The sequence below is a fragment of the Homo sapiens genome, chromosome 9 (genome assembly GCF_000001405.40).
Source record: "Homo sapiens chromosome 9, GRCh38.p14 Primary Assembly".
Lineage (NCBI taxonomy): Eukaryota > Metazoa > Chordata > Mammalia > Primates > Hominidae > Homo > Homo sapiens.
In genome coordinates, this window is record NC_000009.12 from 15,499,610 (window position 1) to 15,525,460 (window position 25,851).

The 25,851-nt window shown below is 40.4% G+C and overlaps 1 protein-coding gene and 1 pseudogene across 12 annotated transcripts in view, besides 8 other annotated features; both read right to left on the reverse strand.

Moving 5' to 3' along the window:
* Positions 1-11,361, reverse strand: part of PSIP1 (PC4 and SRSF1 interacting protein 1) — a 46,905-nt gene extending 35,544 nt beyond the window's left edge. For 6 of the 12 annotated variants that reach the window (NM_001128217.3, NM_001317900.3, NM_001438383.1 and 3 more), the window contains exons 1-3: positions 11,208-11,361; positions 10,508-10,717; positions 6,952-7,028 (exon numbers count right to left, since the gene is read on the reverse strand). In NM_001128217.3, coding sequence (NP_001121689.1) covers positions 6,952-7,028; positions 10,508-10,579 — 149 coding nt within the window. In that variant the 5' untranslated portion in view covers positions 10,580-10,717; positions 11,208-11,361. Of the gene's footprint in view, positions 1-6,951; positions 7,029-10,507; positions 10,750-11,207 lie in introns of those variants that run through there. The other 6 variants (NM_033222.5, NM_001438384.1, NM_001438385.1 and 3 more) reach the window with 2 other exon arrangements.
* Positions 10,474-11,427: an enhancer, noted in NCBI's record as "NANOG-H3K27ac-H3K4me1 hESC enhancer chr9:15510081-15511034 (GRCh37/hg19 assembly coordinates)". NCBI's record gives its function as "activates a minimal SCP1, AML or CMV promoter by ChIP-STARR-seq in primed H9 embryonic stem cells {active_cell/tissue: H9 hESC(primed)}" and the evidence as "EXISTENCE:reporter gene assay evidence [ECO:0000049][PMID:30033119]".
* Positions 10,487-10,686: a silencer, noted in NCBI's record as "silent region_19781". NCBI's record gives its function as "represses an Ori minimal core promoter by ATAC-STARR-seq in GM12878 lymphoblastoid cells {active_cell/tissue: GM12878}" and the evidence as "EXISTENCE:reporter gene assay evidence [ECO:0000049][PMID:35858748]".
* Positions 10,787-10,836: a silencer, noted in NCBI's record as "silent region_19782". NCBI's record gives its function as "represses an Ori minimal core promoter by ATAC-STARR-seq in GM12878 lymphoblastoid cells {active_cell/tissue: GM12878}" and the evidence as "EXISTENCE:reporter gene assay evidence [ECO:0000049][PMID:35858748]".
* Positions 10,967-11,026: a silencer, noted in NCBI's record as "silent region_19783". NCBI's record gives its function as "represses an Ori minimal core promoter by ATAC-STARR-seq in GM12878 lymphoblastoid cells {active_cell/tissue: GM12878}" and the evidence as "EXISTENCE:reporter gene assay evidence [ECO:0000049][PMID:35858748]".
* Positions 11,037-11,246: a silencer, noted in NCBI's record as "silent region_19784". NCBI's record gives its function as "represses an Ori minimal core promoter by ATAC-STARR-seq in GM12878 lymphoblastoid cells {active_cell/tissue: GM12878}" and the evidence as "EXISTENCE:reporter gene assay evidence [ECO:0000049][PMID:35858748]".
* Positions 11,267-11,346: a silencer, noted in NCBI's record as "silent region_19785". NCBI's record gives its function as "represses an Ori minimal core promoter by ATAC-STARR-seq in GM12878 lymphoblastoid cells {active_cell/tissue: GM12878}" and the evidence as "EXISTENCE:reporter gene assay evidence [ECO:0000049][PMID:35858748]".
* Positions 11,428-12,380: an enhancer, noted in NCBI's record as "NANOG-H3K27ac-H3K4me1 hESC enhancer chr9:15511035-15511987 (GRCh37/hg19 assembly coordinates)". NCBI's record gives its function as "activates a minimal SCP1, AML or CMV promoter by ChIP-STARR-seq in naive and primed H9 embryonic stem cells {active_cell/tissue: H9 hESC(naive and primed)}" and the evidence as "EXISTENCE:reporter gene assay evidence [ECO:0000049][PMID:30033119]".
* Positions 13,033-13,651: an enhancer, noted in NCBI's record as "OCT4-NANOG-H3K27ac hESC enhancer chr9:15512640-15513258 (GRCh37/hg19 assembly coordinates)". NCBI's record gives its function as "activates a minimal SCP1, AML or CMV promoter by ChIP-STARR-seq in naive and primed H9 embryonic stem cells {active_cell/tissue: H9 hESC(naive and primed)}" and the evidence as "EXISTENCE:reporter gene assay evidence [ECO:0000049][PMID:30033119]".
* Positions 24,766-25,109, reverse strand: LOC107987048 (thymosin beta-11-like; annotated as a pseudogene).

The window sequence follows — 25,851 nt, forward strand, 5'->3', positions numbered from 1 at the left end:
ATGTCTGTAATCCCAACACTTTAGGAGGCTGAGGTGGGAGGAACATTTGAGCCCAGGAGTTCAAGACCCGCCTGGCCAACATGGTGAAACCCCATTTCTACTGAAAGTACAAAAATTAGCTGGGCTTGGGGGCGCGTCCCTGTAATCCCAGCTACTCAGGAGGCTGAGGCAGGAGAATCGCTTGAACCCGGGAGGCAGAGGTTGCAGTGAGCCAAGATCACGCCACTGCACTCTAGCCTGGACCACAGAGCAAGAGACTCTGTCTCAAAAAAAAAAAAAAAACCGAAGTCACATACACAAAACAGGAAATCAGAGCCAAATATATGAAGCTCAAAACTCATTTAAGTGTTGCCAAGTAATATTGCTAAACAGAAAAATTCCATTTTTAACAACATATTGATTCTAACTTGCTGCTTCATTTCTACATTACTAAATCACAAAATATGAAAGTTTATTATAAATATTTTATATTTTATAATAGCATGTATTAGTCTATAACAGAAAAATTATTCAACAGACAACTGAATATGCACGCACTATTTCTCATGAACCTGCTGGTAAAGAGAGATCAATAGGGCTGGGCGTGGTGGCTCACGCCTGTAATCCCAGCACTGTGGAGGCCGAGGCAGGAGGATCATGACGTCAGGAGATCAAGACCATCCTGGCTATCACGGTGAAACCCGGTCTCTACTAAAAACACAAAAAATCAGCTGGGTGTGGTGGCGAGCGCCTGTAGTCCCAGCTACTTGGGAGGCTGAGGCAGGAGAATGACATGAACCCAGGAGGCAGACCTTGCTTTGAGCGGAGATTGCGCCACTGCCACTGCACTCCAGCCTGGGAGACAGAGCAAGACTCTGTCTCCAAAAAAAAAAGAGATGAATAAACAGTTCATCTCATTATTTGGTGTAAAATTTAAGAGAAACCATACAAGTCCCACACCAATACGTGCAGCTATGAAACTTGTACAGAAGAACTAGTGTAGAAGAAAAAAATCCTATCCTAAGATTCATTACTTTATTTTCTTCTTGTCACCACTATCAGTACCTCTGCACTGACCTTCACTCCTAAAACTATAAATTAGACGGGTTTTAAAACAGCCTGTGATGTATATTTAAAGTTCCTAAAACTGAGCACCCAACTTCTTTGCATTAAGACAATTAAGAGCAGTAAGGAGGAAAAAACAGCAAAATATCTTTATTTAAATTTCCTAGACTTCTAAGATACAGAACTAGGTAGGAATAGTCCCTGAATTAGCAAAGGTAATTAGTCACCAAAACTCAAACTGAGCTTCATTTCAATTTAATAAATACTACTAGAAGTCTTGGAAAAATGGGTAAATCCCCACAACTCTTGTTCCCAAAATGAAATAAAAGTTTGCCAAAGCTGAACATTTTAAATAAATAATAGCCAAGCATTGTTCTAAGCATTATTCATGTCATGTCTTATTTGCATCCCAAGATTCTGAGGCAAGATAATATTATCCCCACTTTACAAATGACAAAGAAAAAAAACACAAATATAAGTAACCTGCCCAAGGTTATATAGCAGGTAAATGGCAGTCAGTATTCAAAAACAAACTTCTGATCTAGTTGCTCTACATAAACGTTGGCTAATGGACAGCAAATGCATAATCAACAAATGACTTTATCTAGTGCACAAAGCTTTCAATCACCAAATATTTATTTAACAGCTACTAAGTGCCAGGCACTTAAGTTAATGATGACAAGATAGACAAGGTCCCTGCTGATCCAGCTCTTCGAGTGTGGGTGAAAAAAAGAGAAAAGGGGAAAAAAAAAAATTCAGTCACTGTTGCAGTGGGGAAAATAAACACGAGGAGGAGGATGTGAGCTAAGATCTAAATGACTTCAAATATCCGAAGGCATAACCTTCCCCGCAAAGGGAAAACAAAAGACCTGAGATAAGATGAGGCTTATTTTTACAATAGAAAAAAGCGGTGAAAAATGTAATGAGGCTGGAGAGGTAAGCATGGGCTAGTTCGTATAGGTTTTTATAAATATCATTTGTAGGTAGTTTTTGGTTTTGATTCACTGCTAATGTTAAAATAGGGAGTCACTGAAGGTTTTCAGTGAAATGACATGATCTGACTGAGATATAAAGATCTCTTTGACTAGACAGTTGTACCTCCGTATCCGTAAGACTGTGGATTATCCTTCCTCGACCCCTGCAGATACCAAAATTCACAGATGTTTAAGTCCCTTATATAAAACAGCATATATATATATATATATATATATATAAAACGCACACCCTCCCATATACTTTAAATCTGGGGTCTCCAGCCCCCTGGCCAAGGACCAGTACCCGTCCGTGGCCTGTTAGGAACCACGCTACACAGCAGGAGGGAGGCATTACCACCTGAGCTCTGCCTCCTGTCAGATCAGTGGCAGCATTAGATCCTCACAGAAGCACAAACCCTACTGTGCACTGCACATGCAAGGGATCTAGTCTGAGTGCTCCTTATAAGAATCTAAGTAATGGCTGCTGATCTGAGGTGGAACAGTTTTCATCCCAAAACCATCCCCCCAAACCCCCGTGGAAAAAACTGTCTTCCATTGCTGCTTTAAATCATCTCTAGATCACTTATAATACCTAATACAATGTAAATGCTATATAGTTGTTACATTGCATTAAGGTAATAATGACAAAGAAAAAAAATCTATACATATTCACTACAGACATAACCATCTTTTTCCCCCAAATATTTTCAATCTGTGACAGGATGACTCCATGGATACAGAACCCACAGATACAGCAGGCCAACTGTATATGAAGAGTGGAAACTGAAACCAACATAGAGTAAGCGCACTATTTTTAATTTTTTTACCCCCCAAGACAGGGTCTTACTATGTTACAAGCCAGATTTGAACTCCTGGGATCAAGGGATCCTCCTGCCTCAGCCTCCTGAGTAGCTGGGACTACAGACATGTCCCAGTGTGCCCAACTTAGGACATTATTTACAGAAGTAATTACGCATGGACTTGAATTATACAAAGATGACCAAGAGCGGACAGATCCGAATACATTTGAAAGGCAAAGAACAAGATTTGCTGACTGACTAGATGTAGAAAGGAAGGGGAAAGACTATAACATGTAATCAAGGATAATACCAAGACTTGGCTTCAGTAAGAATTGAGTCTATGTCATTCCCACTTACTAAAAATCTGTCTGAATATGTTAGGTTTAAAATATCTAGTACATGGTCACAGTTAGGGCTCACTGTCTAATATTCAAAACTTGATTGCTGAACATTTACTATGAATGTCCTAAGTAAAATCAGACGTCTGTAGGCCAGGAAAAGAATGCAGTTACAAAAGAATTCTGCTCTAAATTAACAATTAAAAAACCTTAATCTATAAACCAGTTACGAATTAGTACAATTTCCAAATATACCTTTCTTCTAGTTTAGCAGACTACTAAACTATTTATGCAAAATCCAAACTAAAAAGTTCAAACAGGCCAGGCACAGAGGCTCATACCTGTAATCCCAGCACTTTGGGAGGCCAAGGCAGGTGGATCACTTGAGGTCAGGAGTTTGAGACCAGCCTGGCCAACATGGTGAAACCCCATCTCTACTAAAAACACAAAAATTAGATGGGTGTGGTGGCGGGTGCCTGTAATCCTGACTAGTTGGGAGGCTGAGGCAGAGGAATCACTTGTATCTCAGAGGTGGAGGTTGCAATGAGCCGAGATGGTGCCACTGCACTCCAGCCTGGGCAACAGAGGAGACTCCATCACAAAAAATAAAAAAATAAAAAAATAAAGTAGCCTGTAATCTCAGCACTTTGGGAGGCTAAGGCAGGAGGATCACTTGAAACCAGGCGTTGGAGACCAGCCTGGGCCATGTAGCAAGACCCCATCTCTAAAAAATAATAATAATAATAAAAAATACAAAAATTAGCAAGCTACTGCAGTTATCAGCTACTTGGGAAGTTGAGATGGGAGGATCACTTAGGCCCAGGAGTTCAAGGATGCAGTCAACTATGATCGCCGCTGTGTTCCATCCTGGGCCATGGAATGAGACTCTGTCTCCAAAAAAAAAAAAACTTCAAATAACTACCCTCCCAAATTTTGAGGGGAAAAAAGATCATCAGAGACCTAGTTTCCAAAAATTAGTATTTTTTTGTTTGTTTTTTAGAGACAGAGTCTCACTCTGTTGCCCAGGCTGGAGTGCAATGGCACAATCTCGGCTCACCACACCCTCTGCCTCCTGGGTTCAAGCAATTCTCCTGCCTCAGCCTCCCAAGTAGCTGAGACTACAGGTGCACACTACCATGCCAGGCTAATTTTTGTATTTTCAGTAGAGATGGGGTTTCACTATATTGGCCAAAGTGGTCTTGAACTCCTGACCTCGTCATCCGCCCGCTTCAGCCTCCCAAAGTGCTGGGATTACACGCGTAAGCCACCGCGCCCAGCCCAAAAATTAATCTTAAGTACAAAAGAAGTCACCACCAGACCAACATACATATGGGGCAGCACTGCTTTTCCAAAGATAAATGGTATAATCATAAGAACACTAAGGCAAAAACCAAGTGCATTTTGAAATGAAAATTCAGTATTGTCAGCTTAACTTTAAAGTTAAATTCATTTGAATTCCTTGAATATATCCTAAATTCTTGAATATTAGTAATTCACTGTCTTCATTAACTATCTAATTACCTATTAACCAAACAACAGTTTAGTTATTTAGTTTAGTTTGTTTTGGTTTAAAGTGTACATATATTTATATATGAAAATCCTTTTAAATGCAGGAGAAGGGATAATCATTCCTCTTCTAAATTTAAAATAGTAACGTAAGAATGGACTGTGTATTCTGTAAGACTATCAGGATATATAGAAGTATAAAATCGGTTCCATTCCAGCACTTTAGGAGGCCGAGGTGGGCAGATCACGAGGTCAGGAGATCGAGACCATCCTGGCTAACACGGTGAAACCCCATCTCTACTAAAAATACAAAAAATTAGCCTGGCGTGGTGGCAGGCACCTGTAGTCCCAGCTACTCGGGAGGCTGAGGCAGGAGAATGGCGTGAACCCAGGAGGCGGAGCATGCAGTGAGCGGAGATCATGCCACTGCACTCCAGCCTGGGCAACAGAGCTAGACTCGGTCTCAAAAAAAAAAAAAAGAAAAAACCTGTTCCATTTCAGACAAAAATCAGAATTAAAGACTTTTAAGCTTATAAAACTGAAAAATGCTAAGGAATGTCCACTCACATTACTACAGTATTTCCAAACTTCAACGTAAATCAGAATCATCTGGAAGGCTTGTTAAAACAGGTCTTTGGCTCCACACTCACAGCTTTATTCAGTAGGTCTAGAATAAGGCCTAAGAACTTTTTTTTTTTTTTTTTTTTTGAGATGAGGTCTGCAGTGGTGAGATCTTGGCTCACTGCAACCTTTGCCTCCCCGGCTCAGGTGACGGTTCCACCTCAGCCTCTGGAGTAGCTGGGACCACATGTGTGTGCCACCACAAACGGCTAATTTTTGTATTTTTTGTAGAGACACAGTTTCACCATGTTGCAGGCTGGTCTCCAACTCCTGAACTCAAGTGACCCTCCCGCCTTGGCCTCCCAAAGTGTTGGGATTACAGGTGTCAGCCACCACACCCAGCCAAGAACTTACATTTTAATTAAAGTTCGCAAGAGATGCTAATGGTGCTAGACCTGACAACACACTTTGAAAAGCCCTACTCTAATATACACTGCACCATTTTCCATTAAAAGATACTTTTGTCCTCTATTAAATTTACTGAAGAGTTTCTTTAAAGTATCCCATGGAATCAGAAACTTATCACTTCTTAAAAATTATATTGTTATATATAGAATACACTTGAACCTAACTCTAATTATGATGAAGGCCAAACCAATTCTGGATCCAAAGTTGTATTTTTTTAAAAACTTATTATGAAATATTGTATGACACCATTCAAATAAAATGTCCAGAACTGGTAAGTCTATACAGACAGTAGACTAGTGGTTGTTTACGGTTGGAGAGGGGAAAGTGATCATCAAAAGGTTATGATAGTCAATATACTAAAATCTACTAAATATACTAAAATCTATTGAAAATCACTTTAAGCAGGTGAACTTCTTTGTATGTAAATTCCATCTCAATAGAGCTATTAAAGACATTGTGTGAAAGTTTATACAGTAGCTAAGCAACTTTAAACCAAATATTGCCATTGCAGCCACTCTTAGGAATACATAATTCTAATCAGAATAGCAATAGTTTTGTTTCTCCTCATCCCAGGTAAACAAGACTACCAAAATTATGACAGACACCAAACTTCAAGTCCAAAATCAACCAGATTATATAGTATTTCTAAGGCCATTAAATTATAGGTACATAGGAACATTCTTCGGGAAATTAACGGTAGCCTCCTGAGTGATCCCATGCACTTGGCAGTAACATACGTCAACATTCAGCTGCAATTTTTGAAAAATTTGCTTCACATCAGTTCTCTGCCCACATACCCACCAGAGGCAGCAGAGCTTCAGGGACCATATAAACACATGGAGGGAACTAGCTAGACTTCCTCTTCTCACCTTCTCCACAATATACACAGTTTGCATATCTGATATCATAAAACCAAAAATTAGGTACCAACTAGTCCTTATAAAAAGCACTTATTTTACTGTATAGGAATATCAGATCACTTATTAAAACTTTCCTTATGTATTTTCATCCATCAATCATTCTTATTGCTCAGAGAATTTCTACTTTCCTTTTTGGTTAAGGAAATATCAATTCCAGTAAAAAATAAACCTATAGCATCTGTAAACGCTACCTTAAAAATAGAGACTTAAAGACTCTTTCCAAAGTTCAAAGATTTTAAAGTTTCCTATTACGTTACGATTTCCCCCTTGAATTAATGTCTACTGCCTAATAACCCTGTTAAATTAGCTCTGATTTGCCTTTAAAGCTAACAGGACTTACGTCTCATGAGTTCCAAAAAAGAAAATGGGTAGTTTGTTTGTGGGTGGCTTTACAGCTCCATCAGGAACTTCGTCTACCTAAAAGAAAAGTGAGAAAAATTAAAATATTTTAAATCATACACACCTCAACATTTATCTGAATAAACAAGAGCACAACATCCAAAAGGGTTCTGTTATAAAATGGGCCAGTTCTGCAGGCCCATAATCTCCTATCCCCAAATCTGAAACCCAAGAAGCTCTGAAAACCAAAATTTCTGTCAAAACTCATTTGGTGGCAAAACCTGGACTGACATTGAGGGTATCAGTCATTTCTTTTATCCACCTGTTTCCACTGTTGTTTCTTTGCAGACATATTATTATGTGCTATTCCAGACCGCACCAGCAGCAAAATATATGGCATATGTACTCTCCCTGCCTTCCTAAAATCCCAGAATTCTGAATTGTTAATCATATCATTTCAGGTAAGGAGTCTGAACCTATTTGACAACCCTAAATGTTAGTTCTGCAGGAAATCTATACAAATAACAGACTAATGTAAAAGCAGACATTGACAAAAGTTTAAATCAGTACCTCCCAAAGTCTGAAAAACTTACTATGAAAAGATCCTTCACTGATGTGCCTGAATCACATGAGGCTACCTGTTCCTTTTTCACTGCTCTTTCAACCTTTTAAATTATGTAAGGAAGAAATCATCAGGTGCTGTCACGTCTAATATATCCATAATACTTGTTACTTTCCCTCATCAATAAAGGAAAAGCAGACCTCAGGACTAAAGCAGTACTATCTAGCTAGAATTTAACAACATGTCGGCCAGGCGCGGTGGCTCACACCTGTAATCCCAGCACTCTGGGAGGGCAAGGTGGATGGATCATGAGGTCAGGAGTTCAAGACCAGCCTGACCAATATGGTGAAACCCGGTCTCTACTAAAAATACAAAAATTAGCAGGGCACGGTGTCAGGTGCCTGTAATCTCAGCCACTCCAGAGGCGAATCACTTGAACCTGGGCAACAGAGGTTGCAGTGAGCCGAGATCATGCCACTGCACTCAAGCCTGGGTGACAGAGTGAGATCCTGTCTTTAAAAAAAACAAAAAAAAAGAATTTAACAACATATCTATTTTAAATGTCATAATTTTCATAATTTCAAAAACACTTCAATTTGAAAATCAGCTGACTTTGTTAAGAAGGGGGTTGACCATCAGAGGACCTACTATCCTCTGTAAGCATTATGGTGTTGCAGAAGAAGACCATCAGGATGACTGAACTGATTTGTGAGGGAAGTCTAAAGGCTTTCACACACCAACAGAATCATTACCACCCAATATCTCTAGGGACCTATTTCCCCACTTATATGATGAAGATCACACCTGTTATCTCAACTTTGTGGGAATGTCCCGATAATTGCAAAAATCCTTAATCCCTTAAGAGATCATTTCTGTTAACCCAGTTCATATGCCTCTTTCTGCTAGCAAACAGCTTAAAGAGTTTATGCAAATACCTAGCACCTATAGCCTTTAGCAAATGCCGGGCAAAATTTAAGTTGATTTTTTAAATAATTATTACTGGTAAACGATTATGTACATGAATGTTTAAGACTTAAAAATTAATGAAGTTTGGGACATGTAGACAGAAATGTTAAAGCAAAAATTGCAACAAGAGGTGTCACCTTTACGGCTCAGACTTTAAATATGGACTCTAAACTCTACAGCAAAGATTTCAAATTTTTAAGAATGAAGAAGACAGAAAAAGGAATGTAACTGTTGGACACAGAATACACCAACACTAAATGGAGGTGTTTCTCAGAAAAAATGATGGGGAAAAGGGAAAAGACAAACACTTCCCTTCCAATCCAAATGAACTTGTTAAATGTAGAACTTGTTAAATAAGGAAAACACTCTGGTCTTCCAAAGGCTACCCTATTTTATTTTCAGTAGCACTCTTAGTCACTTAACATATGAGCGTGGGGAGGGTGATTTGGGAGATTTTTTAAACATTTCCTTTGGCTTTTAACTTCACTGTGGCATGCAAATCGGAATATAGATCTATTAGACAACCTCATATTTTCAAACACCTCAAAATAAACAAGGATACCTCGAAGACCATGAAAAAGTATATCAGAGGGGCCTTAAACCTGATCAGTTTCCCTAGGCTCCATTTGAACGTGAATTGTGTTTTATAGGTGCATCATATATACTACGGACTATGGAGGGTATAAACAAATTCCATTTAAGGTTGTTGCCCTCGGTCTCACAATATATTTGGAGGTCAAAGCATACACAGAGTTAAGAATTAAAACAAAAGATTATCACGAAAGGAATAGATTAGAATGTAAAATATACAGACAAGGATTATGACTAAGGATTGTTCAAGTAAGACTGCACCGAAAAGGCAGACTTTATAGGCAAGGAAAAAAGCTTTGGAAGGAAACTTGTGAACAGGAGTTTACGTAGAGCAGCTAGATGGAAGAAAGTCAAGGAACAGTGATCGTTTTACACTTGGATGGCACTCTCAGCTCCTAGACAGGACTCCGTTATCTAATGGGTGTTTTCCACCATTCCCCTGCTGACATAACTAAAACTACAGAATTTAATTATTTTTAAGAAATACATTTTCAAAGGACAGTAAATTAGTCGAAAATAAATGGCTTGGAAAAATAAAACTTCAGAACCCCATGTAAGTATATTTTTAAAGGATCTTGAGTTTACCTAATCTAATTGATTGCAACATATCTTAGGTCCTATCTATCTCTGTTTGAGAGCCTGGGTACCACCATAAACAAAAAGAACCCTTTTTCTAAAAATGGAGCGTAGATCTTTAAACAGTCTCAATTCCTCAATGTCACAAAACATCCTGGGTCCTTAATCATTTCTCTGTACCACTAGATGTGAACTGAGGAATCTGGTCCACACCTCCTTTTTGCCTATTGGAAACAAAAAGGTAAAACAACTTCTTCAAGGTCATAAACATCTCAAATAAAAAAGGAGAAATGAATTTTCTGGCCCTTCCTCGGTACTAAACTACTGTAATACTTTCAAGAATATCCAGTCCTGAATCTGTATTAAACAAGCAAATCCAGAAGGCCTCATCAAGTACAAGGTATTTTTTTTAAAACCCTGTAAATCCAATTTAATCACATACGCACTTCTCTGACATCCAAGTGTTTGTGTGTAATCTGCACAAATTCCATTGATATTTTGTACTTGATCCAAAACTATGGAAATGTCAATGTTTCACTAATTTTTAAACAAAAATTCACTCTTCATTATTTCACCTACAATGGAATATTAACTAGCAACGCATTTAAATATTTCCTAGGAAGAAAATCTGTCCAAGTCTGCCAATAAACCATAGGGAAATACACAGGTATGTAGAAACGTCTGGATTTTCATAATTACACGGGAGATTATTGGGCAAAAAACTAAAATGAAAGGTCAGGTTACAAATGAGACTAAAGCGAGGGAGAGAAAGGACAGAAGAAAAAATAAAGAGACACGGTGGGCAGCAGGCCTCTGGAGAGGAGGGTAGCACTGCTAAGCGCGAGGGCTACAAATCACTTACTCGAGCTGGCCAATGGGGATAACCTTTCATCTTGGCGAAGATGAGGTCTCCAGGTTTGAAATCGCGAGTCATGTTTCGGGGGCGAGACCGGGGGTCCGAAGCCCGGGAGGCGGCGAGGAGATGCGGCGGCGCGGGGATGCGGGCGGCGGACGCGGGCCCAGCTACCGGGCCCGCGGGCGGGGGAGGATGCCTCGGGGCGTCCCGACGCGCCTGCTAGGGAGAGCACCGAGGGCGGTTAAAGCGAAGAACCCCGAAGGGAGGGGCCGCAAGGGGAGGGGGAGGGGAACCGGCGGGTGGGGGTGGGAGAGCGAGGGGACGGCCGCCTCCCGCTCCTCCCCCGCCAGTGCGCTGCCTCCGCGCTGGAGCAGGTCCTCCACCCCGCCACCGAAGAGACGCCACCACCTGAAGCAGGGATGCTGCCCGGCCAGAAATCGCCCGTCTGCCCGCCCCATCTTTCTCCGGGCTTTTTCCACCGAGCTTAAGCCCCAAAAGGGAGGGGGTGCATGGGAGAGAAAAAGGCAGGGATTCCGAGAAGCGAGCGGCCCCCTTCCGCCCACGCAAGGCCTCCCCCGCAACCTGCTGCCCAGCGGCTGCAGCCTCGGCCCCCTCGGCTCCCGGGCGGGCCGCGTCCACTTCCCCGCTACAGCCAGGAGCGACGCCACCGAGGGGGGGGCGGGGCGAGTCCCCGTCGCCCGCTCACCTGCCGGGGCCGCGGGCGCCGACGCTGCGGTTGCTGGCCGGTCGCCTCTACCCGCGTCCACGCAAGCCACCTGCGCCACCAGCTGCCGCAGAGGCGTCTCAACGGCTCGGAATCGCAACCGCGCCGCCGCTGCCGCCGCCGTAGCTGCGCTGCTCCCGCGCGGCTCCCGCTCGGCGCCCGCTAGCACTGGGGCGCGACCAACTGTTTACCGAGAGAGGGGGGATGTTGCAGCACCCGGCGAAGCTGTGTGGCTCCGAAGCGGATTTTCTGGAAACCCTACGTCCCCAAGTTCGCTTTCATGTAACAGGTGCATGCAGATGGAGAGGAAGACGCAAGCGAAGAAGAAAGGACTGGGCGAAAATAGCTCGGCCTGCCGCAAGTTCCCCCTGCGGTTTGCGGAGTGGTCGGGCCCGGCCCGCCCCTGCTGGCTTCTCTGCGTGTGTGTATTTGTATGTGTACTGTATGTAAAAGGCGGGGAGGGAGGAAATGATTGTTGTGGACGCGGTTTTGGGGGCGGGTATCCGGGCCTCTCTCCCTTGGCTGCGTGTTAGGGAGAAAGTGGCAGTAAAGATTCATGTTCTTGTATCGTTTCCAGGGTGGGGAGGTTTGAATGCTGCTTTTGCGCGGTTTGCATCATCCAAAAAAGAGGAGCTGTACGAAAACCCTAAGATGAAATTGGAGCATGCGGCGGTTGCAGGGTGTGCTGCATCTAGGCCTCTTGCACCTCGCTGAATGGGCCTCGTAGTCTCCTTTTCCTTGAAATTGTAGTATGAGAGAGCCCTATTTCATTTCTTTTGCATTTGCATCACCAAGAACTATTAAGAAAAATGCAACCCTACTGAATGCAAAATGCGAAGGGTAGAAAACAATGACAGGAAAACAGAAACCTTTTAGATAGGATGTGAGTTTGGGCCCTAACTAAATTTTAGCTGCATCTAAATTTTATTTCCCTAGTAGAATAGGAGCTGGTAGGTGGTACAATGTGTAAGTGTTACTAAACCTCAAATATTTTCTCTCTTAAAATGCTCTTCAAGGGATTTTAAAGGTTAATTTTTTGATCCTTTAGAGAGGCTGAAAATATTTTTAAAAAGAATGTTAAGACATATAAAAATAAGAATAATAAGACATATATTAGCACCTAGATAATACTGTTTTAAATACGGGACTCAACTGGAAATGAATTAGGAAATTTTTTTTGAATTGGTAAAAATTGAGAATTTTTTGAAAGCGATACAGCATGTCTTTAAAAAGGAATGAAAGAAGACAGTCCCAAAGTAAAATGTCCTGTAAGGAGTTTCGAGAAACTAAGTATACCTGGGCAATATGCAGAGAGTTCCAAGTGGAGCAAAAAGAGAAATTGGCAGAGGAGAAGGAAGGGTTGGTGAAATGTCTTGAAGCTTCTCATTCTGAATATGAATTTAATGTGTGTAGTAGGAAGCTACTATAGGTTGCTCAGCAAGAAGGGGGTAAAAATGATTATTTAACCAGTTCTTGATGTTTCAAGGTAGATGTTAGTAGAAAGAGGCTGGGGGTAACTGGAGTACTCATGAAATGACGCATTTCTCAGTGAGAATGGTGACTAAGAAAAGGGAAGGAAGAGCACAACTAAGTAATTACACAAAGGAATGATTGTCAGGTGTTGGCTATAAATTATGCATAGGAAAAGGTGGAAAAAGATGTATTGAAGAAAAGCTCAAGATACAGAGTAAGAGAGACCAAAGCAGCATCCAGCAATCATTTTTTTGTGTGTATGCACTTTATTTGTTCTAAACCCTGTAAGGCCTTGCTACTTCAAGTGTGGTCCAAGGCCCAGCAGCAAGGGCTTTACCTGGGAGCTCAGGTAAAGCTCAGACCTTCCCCAGGCCTTCTAAATCATAATCTGCGTTTTAACAGGATCCCTAGGTGATTCTTACGCATATTCAAGTTTGAGAAACTGCTTTAGAGGATACCTCAGACTGTAAAAACTTCAAACTAAGAAAAACAGATATATAACAAGTTATAATTAACGTTAAAGATAACTTTTTATTAGTACTAATGGTAGGATTAACAGGTAAAGAGGGGGTAGTTAGTGTTAGAGGGGACCTCAGAAAAGAAATAAAAAAGGGAAAATGGAAAAGCATTGATGTTTTACTATTAGTATTTTCTGTTGTTTTTGTTGTTTTAAAAAAAGGAAGTACCATACTTAGCTCCTGCTGCCTTTAAGTTTTGTCCGCTTCAACCTGTGGTAGTTTGTGAACAACAGGAGATACCCTTTAAACAATAAAGGCAAAACAGGTGGTGGTTTAAGCTTCCAGAGAACAAAAGCCCAGGATCCCTGGGAGCAACAGTTCTGAATCTGCGAGGAAAGGGGGGGGGAGGGGAGGGGAGGGGAGGGCAGGGAACGGGGAAGGAAAGCTGGGCACATCCTAGCCACTTGGGAGAGCTTTTCTGTGCTCTTTTCCAGCTATGCTTGGTGCAGCCCTCTCCCATAGTCAGCCTTCTTAGTGGGGATACTTGAAAAAGTATACCAAAATGGAGATCAGAGGAGCAATGGGAAAGTTATAAGGAGAAAGAGTGTAATTTCCAAAACAACTGAAGCAAGGGGAGGGGGCAGGAAAATCCAAATGAGTTGAGGCAGGAACTTGGCCTACATTATCTCATTTAACCCAAGTGCCACTATCCCCATTTCACAGATGAGAAAATAAGCTCACAGAAGGTAAGCAGCTAGCTTGCCCAAGATCACACATCTAGTCCAGGGGCTGAGGCAACATTCTAGCCCCTCTGGCTACTTGCCCATGCCATTTTTGTGATCCCACATCGCCTCTAGGTGGGGCAGGGAGGCAGCAAGGCTGAAGGAGGAGTGGCTTATAATTAGAAAAGATGCTGGAAGGAAAAGCAGCCCAGTACTTACTCTTCCACCTTCCACCTTTGGGCTTGAAAGTATTCCCAGCTTCAAATTTCCTAACAACCTCCCTCCACACCATGCCATTCCCCAGCTTGTCCCCAGCACGAGACCATTCTGTTTAACTCCTTCTGGTCCTAAAAAACTCAACCCAAAAATCACCTCTGGAAAAGATGTGACCTAATCTTAGAGTAACATAGTTTCTTATTTACACTCTTTCCTACTAATCTGTAAACTGCTTAGAAGTAGGCACTATCTTATTCATCAGTGCAGGTACTCAATAAAAAAGCGCCGGACGCGGTGGCTCATGCCCGTAATCCCAGCACTCTGGGAGGCCAGGGCAGGTGGATCACGAGGTCAGGAGTTCAAGACCAGCCTGGCCAACATGGTGAAACCCCGTCTATACTAAAAATACAAAAATTAGCCGGGTGTGGTGGTGTGCGCCTGTTAATCCCAGCTTCTCAGGAGGCTGAGGCAGGAGAATCCCTTGAACCTGGGAGGAGGAGGTTGCAGTGTTCCAAGATCACCCCACTGCACTCCAGCCAGGGTGACAGAGCGAGACTCTCTCTCAAAAAAAAAATTCCTTTTCAAAAATATTTATTGAGTGAATGAGAGGGAGGGGCAAGTGAAAAACCCCAACAGACTCATTAATCCTTTAGGATGAAAATACAGGTAAGTATGACACATGGAAGTGTTTTTGTTTTGACTTTATGAATTTTTCTTGTACAGTACTTAAAGGTTAACCCTTTAAGAGCAGTGACATTTTTCATTCACTACAAATACATTCATTTTAACTATTTTAATGAAAATCTTTCTAAATGAGATCTTTATTCTAAAAAATTAGCAACAATCTCTTCCTTCGTATCTCTTGCATAATTTCCTACCTTAATACACAGTGTTAGTGATGCACCTTCAATTTATTGGTATGAACAGGTATTGAACTGTTTTCTCGTGTTGTATGTTAATCCTTATGATGGGGAAATAGTGGGAAGTTAGCAAGAATATGGGGGAAAATAAAGAGCATTAATCAAAGAGCTAGTTTAGTTGGGGATGTCATAAATCCAATCTAGGTCTTGCTTCCCATGAAAATCAATAAGCATTCAAAGCTTTGACTCCCAGGTGGGCAAAAACCAAGAAGTACTAGCTTATGAGCTGGTAGCTAGGTTTACTGCTGAGCTGGTTTACCAATGTTTAGAGGAGAGTTGTTTTCAGCACATGAGATAAGAGAAGTCTTAAGGAATCTGAGTGCTCCTTAGAAAGACTAGAAAGAAGCAAGGCAAAGATAGAGTTTGACAGTTGACCTGTGAGTACTATTAGTGCCTTTTGTGAAGACTGCCTAGACTGTGGGCCGTTCCAGTGGGAATTTTTTTTTTTTTTTTTTTTGAGACGGAGTCTCGCTCTGTCACACAGGCTAGAGTGCAGTGGCGCAACCTCGGCCCACTGCAACCTCCACCTCCTGAATTCAGGCAATTATCCTGCCTCAGCCTCCCGAGTAGCTGGGATTACAGGTGCCCACCACCATACCTAGCTATTTTTTTTTTTTTTTTTGTATTTTTAGTAGAGACAGGGTTTCACTATGTTGGCCAGGCTGGTTTTGAACTCCTGACCTCAAGTGGACCATCCACCTCGGCCTTCCAAAGTGCTAGGATTACAGGAGTGAGTCATGGCACCCGGCCTTTTTTTTTTTTCTTTTTTTTTTTGAGATGGAGTCTCACTCTGTTGCCCAGGCTGGAGTGCAGTGGTGCAATCTTGGCTCACTGCAACCTCCACCTCCTGGGTTCAAGTGATTCTCCTGCCTCAGCTTCCCAAGTAGCTGAGATTACAGGCATGTGCCACCATGCCCGGCTACTTTTTTTGTAGTTTTAGGAGAGATAGGGTTTTGCCACGTTGGCCAGACTGGTCTCGAACCCCTGATCTCAGGTGATCTGCCCTCCCCGGCCTCCCAGAGTGCTAGGATTACAGGCGTGAGTCACTGTGCCCAACGTCCAGTGGGATTTTTAAAAAAAATCACTAGATGACCTGATTACTTCTCATCTCAGATACTTGGTTTGCTTCTTTCTTACATCTCCATCTCCAGTCTTGGTTAAGGGTTCTCTTACCCACATGTGTATATGCCATACTCCTCTTTGACTCTGCTGCCTGATTTTGCCTTTTTCCCTGCTTCATCTTATTCCTTTGTCTACATTCTTTCTCATTTTCCTCCGTGTTCTTACTCCATGATTTTGGTGTGTGAAGTGTGTAGCTTTGAAAGTAGAATGATGTCTTGCTCTGGTCAATAGACCTACCAACCTACTGATGTCTTTTATTGTCTTTGTACCATTGATTCTTCTAGGTCAGCTTTCTCAGAGTGTTTTATGAGAACAGTAGTATAGCTTGAGAAGTTAAAAGGCCTAAATTAGGGAAAAGGAAATTCTATAGACAAGTGAATTTGAGAAACGCAGAGTCAAAGTTGCATGGCTTTCTTTAAAGTAAGACATCTCAGAGCTGTTAATATATTAAATTTGCTTTATGAATTTCTAAAATGGGTTTTTAGCCATCAGTCCAAAGTTATTTGATAATGGAACTCCCCTTTCTTTTTTCCTGGAAAACCGTCACCTAGGACTAGTGATGGTAAATATTGTACCATGCAACATTTTGGCGATGTGCTTTCTTATGAGCTTATTGATAAGCAGGGGATGTGAGGTTGAGCTCTGATAGCCAGACAGACACCAGAGGCTTTACTTTAAATGCAAATTTAATGTATCTTAATATTTAGAAAAAGTAACTCAGGTGCTCGATGTTCAATTACAGAGAAAAAACTAATAGTTACCACTTTGATATGACATAAGAAAAGAGAGCACAGACTTTGGAGTCAAGCATGAGTTCTGATCATGGCTCTGTCACTTTCCATACGTGCTATTAGGCAACTCTTAACTTCATGTACTTATTTTCTTATCAGTGAAATGTGAATAAGGACACTTGCCTTGGAGGGCTATTGTGAGGATTAAATTAGATCATAAATATATAATGTGCATGATATTAGTATCTTAGCCATGTTTACAACCTAGGGGGAGAAATAAGTAATTGTCTTCCATGTATGTATAGGATTATGCTATGACTGGGTCTAAAATCCAACTAGATGTAGAGGGAAAAGTTCTGTATGAAAACTTCACTTCTAAGGACTGCTGGATGACAAATTACTGGTTTGACTTTGCTGTTTGGGGATTTTTTTCTTCTTCTTGGATTGGTCTTTTATAATTATTATTATTATTATTATTATTATTATTATTATTATTATTTGAGACAGGGTCTTGCTCTGTTGCCCAGGCCGCAGTGCAACGGCCTGATCTCGGCTCACTGCATCCTCAAACTCCTAGGCTCAAGTGATCCTTCCCTCTCAACCTGTGGAGTAGATGGGACTACAGTCGCATACCACTATCCCCAGCTATTTTTTTTTTTTTAATTTTTTGTAGAGACAAGGTCTCCCTATGTTGCCCAGGCTGATCTCAAACTCCTGGTCTCAAGCAATCCTCCTGCCTCGGCCTCCCAAAACTGTAGGATTATGGGCACGAGCCACAGTGCCTGGCCTGGTTTGGGTTTTTTTGTTGTTGTTTTTTTTTAAGATTTTATTTTTTGAGAGCAGTTTTAGATTCACAGCAAAATTGAGAAGATACAGATGTATCCCATATGCCCTCTACCCCCACACATGCATAGCGTATATCATTATCAACATCCCCCACTAAAGTGTTACATTTTTTACGATTGATGAAACTACATTAACATATTACCCAATGTCCATAGTTTACATTAGGGTTCACTATTGCTTCGTGCATTCTATGGGTTTGGACAAATTTATAATGACATGTATCCGCCACTGTAACATCATACAGAGTAGTTTCACTGCCCTCAAAATCCTTTCTGCCCTGCGTATTCATCCGTCCATTCCCCAAGTCATGGCAACCACTTATCTTTTTACTGTCTTCATACTTTCCCCTTTTCCAAATCATACAATATGTAACCTTTTCAGAGGCTTCTTTCACTTCGTAATCTGCATTTAAGTTTCCTCCATGGCTTGATAGGTAATTTCTTTTTAGTTCTGAAACATATTCCATTGTCTGGACATATTTTGTTGGTTCGAATATTCACCTACTGAAGGAAACTTGGTTGCTTCCAAGTTTTGGCAATTATGAATAAAACTGCTATAAACGACTATGTGCATGTTTTGTGTGAACATAAGTTTTCAACTTATTTGTGTAAATACCAAGTTCTGTAATTGCTGATTCATATGGTAAGAATATGTTTCACTTTAAGAAATTGCCAAACTGTTTCCCAAAGTGGTTGTACCATTTTATATTCCCACCAGCAATGAATGAGAGTTCCTGTTGCTCCACATCCTCATCAGCATTTGGTGTTGTGTTTTGGATCTTGGCCATTCTATTAGATGTGTATTAGGTATCTCATTGTTATTTTATTTTTTATATTATAGCTCATAACTTATTAGCTCCTCCACAGTGGTTGGTAGAAGATTTCTGCTTAAGTATGTTTTATATGTGTCCTTTAGTGAAGAAAATATTTGTTAAGATATCAACCTAGAATAATATGGAAACCTAAGGTGGCTTGGAGAAAACAGTGTTTATGTACAGATTACAAAATATTTCGAAAATACAAAGTAGTAGCAATGAATTTTTTAAATTTCCATACCCACAAATTACCCTGTTAAAATGTTTGTGAATTATCTTCCAGTCTTCATTTGTATAGATTTTTTTTTTTCAGGCAGGGTCTCGCTCTGTCGCCCAGGTTGCAGTGCAGTGGCACAATCACACCTCACTGAAGCCTCACCCTCCTGGGCTCAAGCGATCCTCCCAGCCGGAGTAGCTGGGACTACATGTGTACACCACCATGCCTGGCTAATTTTTTATTTTTTGTAGAGAGGAGGTCTCTGTGTTGCACAGGCTGGTTTTGAAAGCTGGGCTCAGGCAATCCTCCTCTCTTAACCTCCCAAAGTGTTGGGATTACAGGCATAAGCCACCACACCTGGATTTTTGTATAGATTTTTAAACATAGTTTGTAAATATTGTTTTGAAATAAACTTTTCCTTTTTGAATAATTTTATTTTATAGACAAGTTACCAAGATAGTACAGAGGGTTATTTTATACCTTTTGCTAAGTTTTCACTCTTGTTAATATCCTATATTAGCATTGCAAGGGTGTCAAAATTAAGAAATTAACATATCTACAACACTGTTACCTAAACTACTGAGTGTATTTGTATTTCACCAACTTTCCCATTAGTGTCCTCCTTCTGTTATAGTATCCTGTCCAGGATACCGTATTATTCTGAGTTGTCATGTCCTCCCGGTCTTTTCCGGTCTATGGCAGTTTCTAAGTCTTCCATTGCTTTTCATGATCTTGGCAGTCTTTTTTTGTTTGTTTGTTCTTGTTTTTGTTTTTGTTTTTGTTTTCTTGAGACAGTCTCATTCTGTCACCCAGGCTGGAGTGCAGTGGCGCAATCTTGGCTCACTGTAACCTCCACCTCCCAGATTCAAGCGATTCTCCTGACCGTGACAGTCTTGAGGAGTTCTGGCCAGATACACTGTAGAATGTCCCCTAATCTGAATTGGTCTGATGTTTTCCTCATGGTTACACTGGTGATGTGGGATTTCGGAAAGAATACCCCAAAAGTAAAGTGTCTTTCTGGTCACGTCGTATCAGCTATATGATATGAACATGACACCACGCGTAATGTGAACCTTCATCACGATTTTGGTGATGTCTGTTAGGTTTCTCCACTATAAAGTTACTATTTTTCTCTTTCCCTACTTAGTCTTTGGAAACAGTCGCTAAGTCTAGCCTACTCCCGGGGGGGTCAGGGGCACCCAGAAATGAAGCTTCACCTCCTAGAGAGGGGAATATCTCTCTATATATATACTTTGGAATTCTTCTATATAAAAGATTTGTTTCTTCCCCCTTATTTATAAATATTGTTTTTAGTGACTGAATTACTGGCTATACTATAGTTTAGCTAAATAGTCTTCAAATGTTGCACATTTATGTGGTATACAATTTTTTACTTAGAGAGTTTTGTATTAATAATTTATAATCATATGATGGGTTTTTTAAATTTCCATTTTTTATCTGTAGTGTTTTAAACACATTCCTTGCTCCAAGGAACATATATTTATAATTTCAAAAAATCAGTACCTCTTGAGCATAGGCCTGCATATTTTATTTGACTGAGAACTCTTTTATCTCCAAGATTTTAAACTTGGAGCTTTCTGCTGTGATCGTAATCCAGGCAACTCTCCAGCACTGTTCTATCCATTGAACCTCTTTTTCTCAGTTAACTTGACTTTAGTCATTTTTGCATCCCACTTCACTCAGCATATCCCACTTTCCAGCCTCACATGATGCCTATGACAACAGTCTTCACATTTTTTTTGCTGCTATAGTTCCCCCTGCCAAACATTTTAAGTTGAAATATAACATTTTTTCAACATTTTAATCATTCCAAAAGATGCGGTTTCTAGCACATTAGAGATACTTTAAAATAAAAATGTTACATGAAGTGTAGTATAAATACCCACAGTGATTTCATAGCCACTATTATTCATTTTCAGAAAAACGTGAATAAATACATCTTTATTCTAAGGAATAAAGAATTCTTGTTCTTTAATAAAAATTTATTAGCATTTAAATTTTTCCATATTTGCTTATTCTCCTTGAACTCTAATTTCCATTCTACTTGTCCTGTAGAATTTTGTTGTAATCCAATACATTTTATATTTGAAAGTACTTTAGGGCCAGGTGTGGTGGCTCATACCTATAATCCCAGCACTTTGGGAGGCCAAGATGGGCAGATCACCTGAGGTCAGGAGTTTGAGACTAGCCTAGCCAACATGATGAAACCCCGTCTCTACTAAAAATACAAAAATTAGCCGGGCGTGGTGGCGCGTGTCTGTAATCCCAGCTACTCGGGAGGCTGAGGCAAGAAAATCACTTGAACCTGGGGGGCAGAGGTTGCAGAGAGCCAAGATCACGCCATTGCACTCCAGCCTGGGTGACAGAGCAAAAGTCTGTGTCAAAAAAAAAAGAAAGTACTTTATTGAACCCATCATACTTCTCTATAACAGTAATATGTATATAAATTGAAATTATCAAGTGCACTTTTTTCTTGTGATTATAAGACATAGATTTTTTCCTCAGATTGTTTTTCATTAAAATTAGTCATATATAGTTGACCAAATCAACATATATTACACATTTTAATACATTATTCATTATGAAAATTATATTGGAAATGTTTCTCTTAAGCAGATGAGTCATGATCAAATTTTTTCTAAGTATAATATTTAATGAAAGTGAAAGGCATAGATAGTAAATACTACTCAGTCTGGCAGTTGCTAGATATTTTAATTTTTTCTTACTAGGAGGTAAAATTTTTTAACATTTTTTTTTTTTTAGAGATAAGGTCTTGTTATGTTTCCCAGGCTGGATTCAAACTCCTGGGCTGAAATTATCCTCTCGTGTCAGCCAGGATTACAGGCACGCACCACTGCCTAGCTTAAACATTTTATAAGATAAAGAAAACTAGAAAAAAAATTACGTGATGATAGGTTCTTGAAATACAGTTGGCTCTCTATCAGCAGTTTCTACATTCGTGGATTCGACCAATCCCAACCCTGATGGAGAAAACAGTACCTGCATTCTGCATTGGTAGAATCCGCGGATGCAGAATCTGGCACCTCCTCACCGCACCCCCTCCATCCCACCTCCCCCTGTGAGTGCTAACTAAGGAACTTGAGTATCCATGGATTATGGTATCCACGGGGGTTCTGGAACAATCCCCCACAGATAAGGAGGGCCAACTGTGTGTTATTGAATAACACGTTCAATTTAAGAGAATCACTTAAATTTTTACCCTGGATTTTAATCAGTGTATCTGGAAATATTTAGTATTCATGGGAAACTTTACAGTTACATTTTAAGAATCAAGTTTAACCAGTTTATACCACTTCATCTGTGCAAAGATGATTTATTTACCAGCTCTAATGACAAATCTTAGAGATGAGTAGTGAGAATATCTAAAAAGAATTGGCAGGGCACGGTGGCACGTGCGGTAGTCTCAGCAACTCAGGAGCCTGAAGTGGGAAAATCACTTGAGCCCACCATCACTTGAATTCGAGGTTACAGTGAGCTATGATCACCACTGTACCGCAGCCTGGGTGACTGAGCAAGACCCTGTTTCAAAACAAACAAAATTGTTTGTTTGAAGGGAGACTGAGAAACACTTTAATGTTCTATATTTCTTATCAATGCTACGTTTGTTTTGCTCCTGTGGGAGTCTTTCTCGCTCTTTTTATACAATTCAAAAGATAGAAGAGGCAGAACTGGGCCATTTCTGCTTTCTCTTTCCTAGGCCACAAGTGTTGCTAAAGAATGCAGCAAAATCATGTAGGTCCCTTAAGTTAAAATTCATATTAATGTGGCAAGTTTGAATCATATTTCACAAAAGCAGCTATATAAGAAACATTTTATCTATTATGACAAATAACTCTGACTTTAACACTATTGACTAGCAGGAAATTCAGTCTCACTATAGGGTTTCCTTCCTCCTCCTAGAAGTTCACAAGAAGTAGGCTGATGTGCTGCGCTGGGTACATATGAAAGCTTCCTCATCTTCAGACCATCCTGATTGGATGATCCCTTGCATGTCTTGGTAGCCCTACAGATAGCAAAAAAAAATGTAGAGAATCAGAAAGATTAATATGGCTCAATAAAGTATCTTACCACTTTTCCACTGAACTCGTAAGATCACTCAACTGGTCCTTCATTAAATTTTGTTTCCTCTCCATTGTATAACCCATTATGACTCTTTCAAGTCATGTCAATACTACTCAAGTTCACACTTAACCTTGAATCATCCTCAGTCTTAGCAGATAACCTTTTCCCCACAGAGAAGATCTGCCATCAAGCTCTTCTCAAAGTAGTACCTGTCTTTCTTTGTCCCTGCTACCTTGACGGAAAAGTAAAGAATTTCCCTCATACCATCCAAAGTTAATTCTTTCTATTTTGGGGAGTGGGGGAAAGGCAATGCCCTGTATTGCGGAGGATCGTGTATTTACTATACCTTCGTTTTCACAATACAAACTCAAGGAAATAGAATTCTGAAAAAAAACTTCACTGTGGGTGTATGAAGAGAAGAAAATGAAGCGTTGTAGGGGCCATGTGTTAGAAAAAAGGCCGAGTAAACACTGCAAATATTGTATTTCTCTCACTGCTGGTCCTTTTCTCGATACCTTCATAATATCTATAAACAAAGCAGATTTTCCTTGCCTTAAACAAAAACTTTCTCTTGAACGTACGGTGAATAGATCTGTGTTTTTTCACTTTTTATTTTGAAATAATTATAGATTCACAGAAAGATGCAAAAATAATCAGAAAGGTCCTTTGAACCCTTCACTCATATCCTCCAATGGTTATATCTGAATTATAGTATAATGACAAAATCAGGAAATTGATCTTGGACGATGTGTATGTATAATTATCTGTCACTTATGACACGTTGTAGATTCCTGCCACCACAATCAAGATACAGAACTATTCCACCACCATGAAGACCCCTAGTGCTATCACTTTAGAGTCATTTTCTCCTCCTCCCAATTCCTAACCCTTGGCAATCACTAATCATTTCTCCATCCCTATAATTTCATCATTTTGAGAATATTATATATATTAAATCATACAGTATGTGGCCTTTTGAGATTGGCTCTCATCACTCATCTTAAAGCTCTTAAAACCTATCCAAGTTTTTCTGTGTATCAATAGTTCATTGTTTTTTATTTCTGAGTAGGATTCCATGGCATGAATGTATACAATTTGTGGAACCATCCACCTATTGAAGGACATCGTGGTTGTTTCCAGATTTCCCCTATTACAAACAAAGCTTCGATGAACATTTATGTATAGTTTTTGTGTAGATGTAAGTTTTTATTTCTCTGGGTTAAATGGCCAGAAGTATCATTACTGGGGTGTATGGTAGTTGCACACTTAGTTTTTTAAACTGCCAAACTATTTTCTAGAGTGGCTAAGCCATTTTACATTCTCTCCAACGATGTATGAGAAATGTAGTTTTTCCTCATCTTCACCAGAATTCGGTATCGTCATTATTTTTTCTTTACACTATTCTAACAGCGTGGTCTTAATTTGCATTACCCAAATGGTTAGTGATATTAAATATCTTTTCATGTGCTTATTTGTGAACTGTACATCTTCTGATGAAATGTCTCTTCATGTCCTTTGTTAGTTTCCTAACTGGAGTGTTTTTTTACTGTTGAGTTTCAAGCATTCTTTTTTGTTTTTGCCACAAGTTGTGTTTTATTTTCATTATTCATACAAATAATTTTCATACATTTATTTATTTATTTATTTAGACAGAGTCTCCCTCTGTCACCCAGGCTAGAGTTCAGTGGCGCCATCTCGGCTCACTGCAACCTCTGCCTCCTGGGTTCAAGCCATTCTCCTGCCTCAGCCTCCTGAGTAGCTGGGATTACAGCTGGCTAATTTTGGTATTTTCAGTAGAGACGGGGTTTCACCATGATAGGTTGGTCTCAAACTCCTGATCTCAGGTGATTCACCTGCCTTAGCTTCCCAAAGTGCTGGGACTATAGGCGTGAGCCACAGCGCCCGGCCACAAATAATTTTCTATAATATCCTGGGGCAAGCCAGAGAATTTGGCAGTCCCATTGCGGGTCCCCTCGGAGACTCACAGGTCGGTGGCATGGTTCGGAGAGCCCAGGTTCACAGCGCAGCTTGTGGGGCATGTCCACCTTGCAGGTGGCTGTTCCTCCACATCTCAAGTCGGGGCTCACAGATGACAGTCATAGAGAATCCTCGAGGCTCTCAGGAAATTTCACTCCACTTCTCCTGCTCTGTGGTCTCTTTGGTCATCAGAGTGTTCTTCTGCATCTCTGTGGCCTTCAGCTTGGCCTTATCCAAGCTGGCAATTTCTTCCAGGTCTAGTTTGTGTGCCATTTTCTTACCCACTTTCCCATTTGCCCTGAGAATACTCTCCAGCGGGGCTTGTGGCTGCAGCGTTTACCCACAACTTTGCCACAAAATATCTCACTTTTATTACTATTTTCACGTGGTTCTAGAATATTGACTTTGGAAACAAAAGACATCACTCTGTTCATAGCATTTTGTTTTTAGTAGTGCTATTTCCATTTGCAAAATATAGCGATTCTCAATCACTGAAAATGCCAGATCCTAGAAAACATAGCATTCCTACATGGGATGTGAACATCGTTCTCAAACAGTTGTTGCCCGAAGATTGATTTGACAAATCCGGTTTTTCCGAAATAGATGATTCTGATGATTCAGCCTATTTTTATGTTAGTTCTGTTTAGAAATAACTTCAGGAACGGTTTTTATATTTTATTTTCACATCAAAAGTCAGTCAGATTTGCTTCAGCCTCAAAGAGCCTGTTTCTGTAAAATTAAATGAGCACTGGCAGTGAGCTGCCCTTTTTTGTTCTAAACAGGAAAAGGGCTAAAGCAATCCATGGCATCCTGTTCCAACCCTGGGTTCCTGGTGCTCCCACTCATGTTGCTGTGGCAGGCGACCCAGTTTCAAGCATTCCTTATATATTCTAGATAAGAGTTCTTTGTCACACACGTGATTTGCAAGTATTTTCTCCATATGTGTAACTTGTCTTTTTGTCTTCCCTATAGGTCTTTCACAGACTAAAAGTTTTACATTTTGATGAAGTCCAACTTATCAGGTTT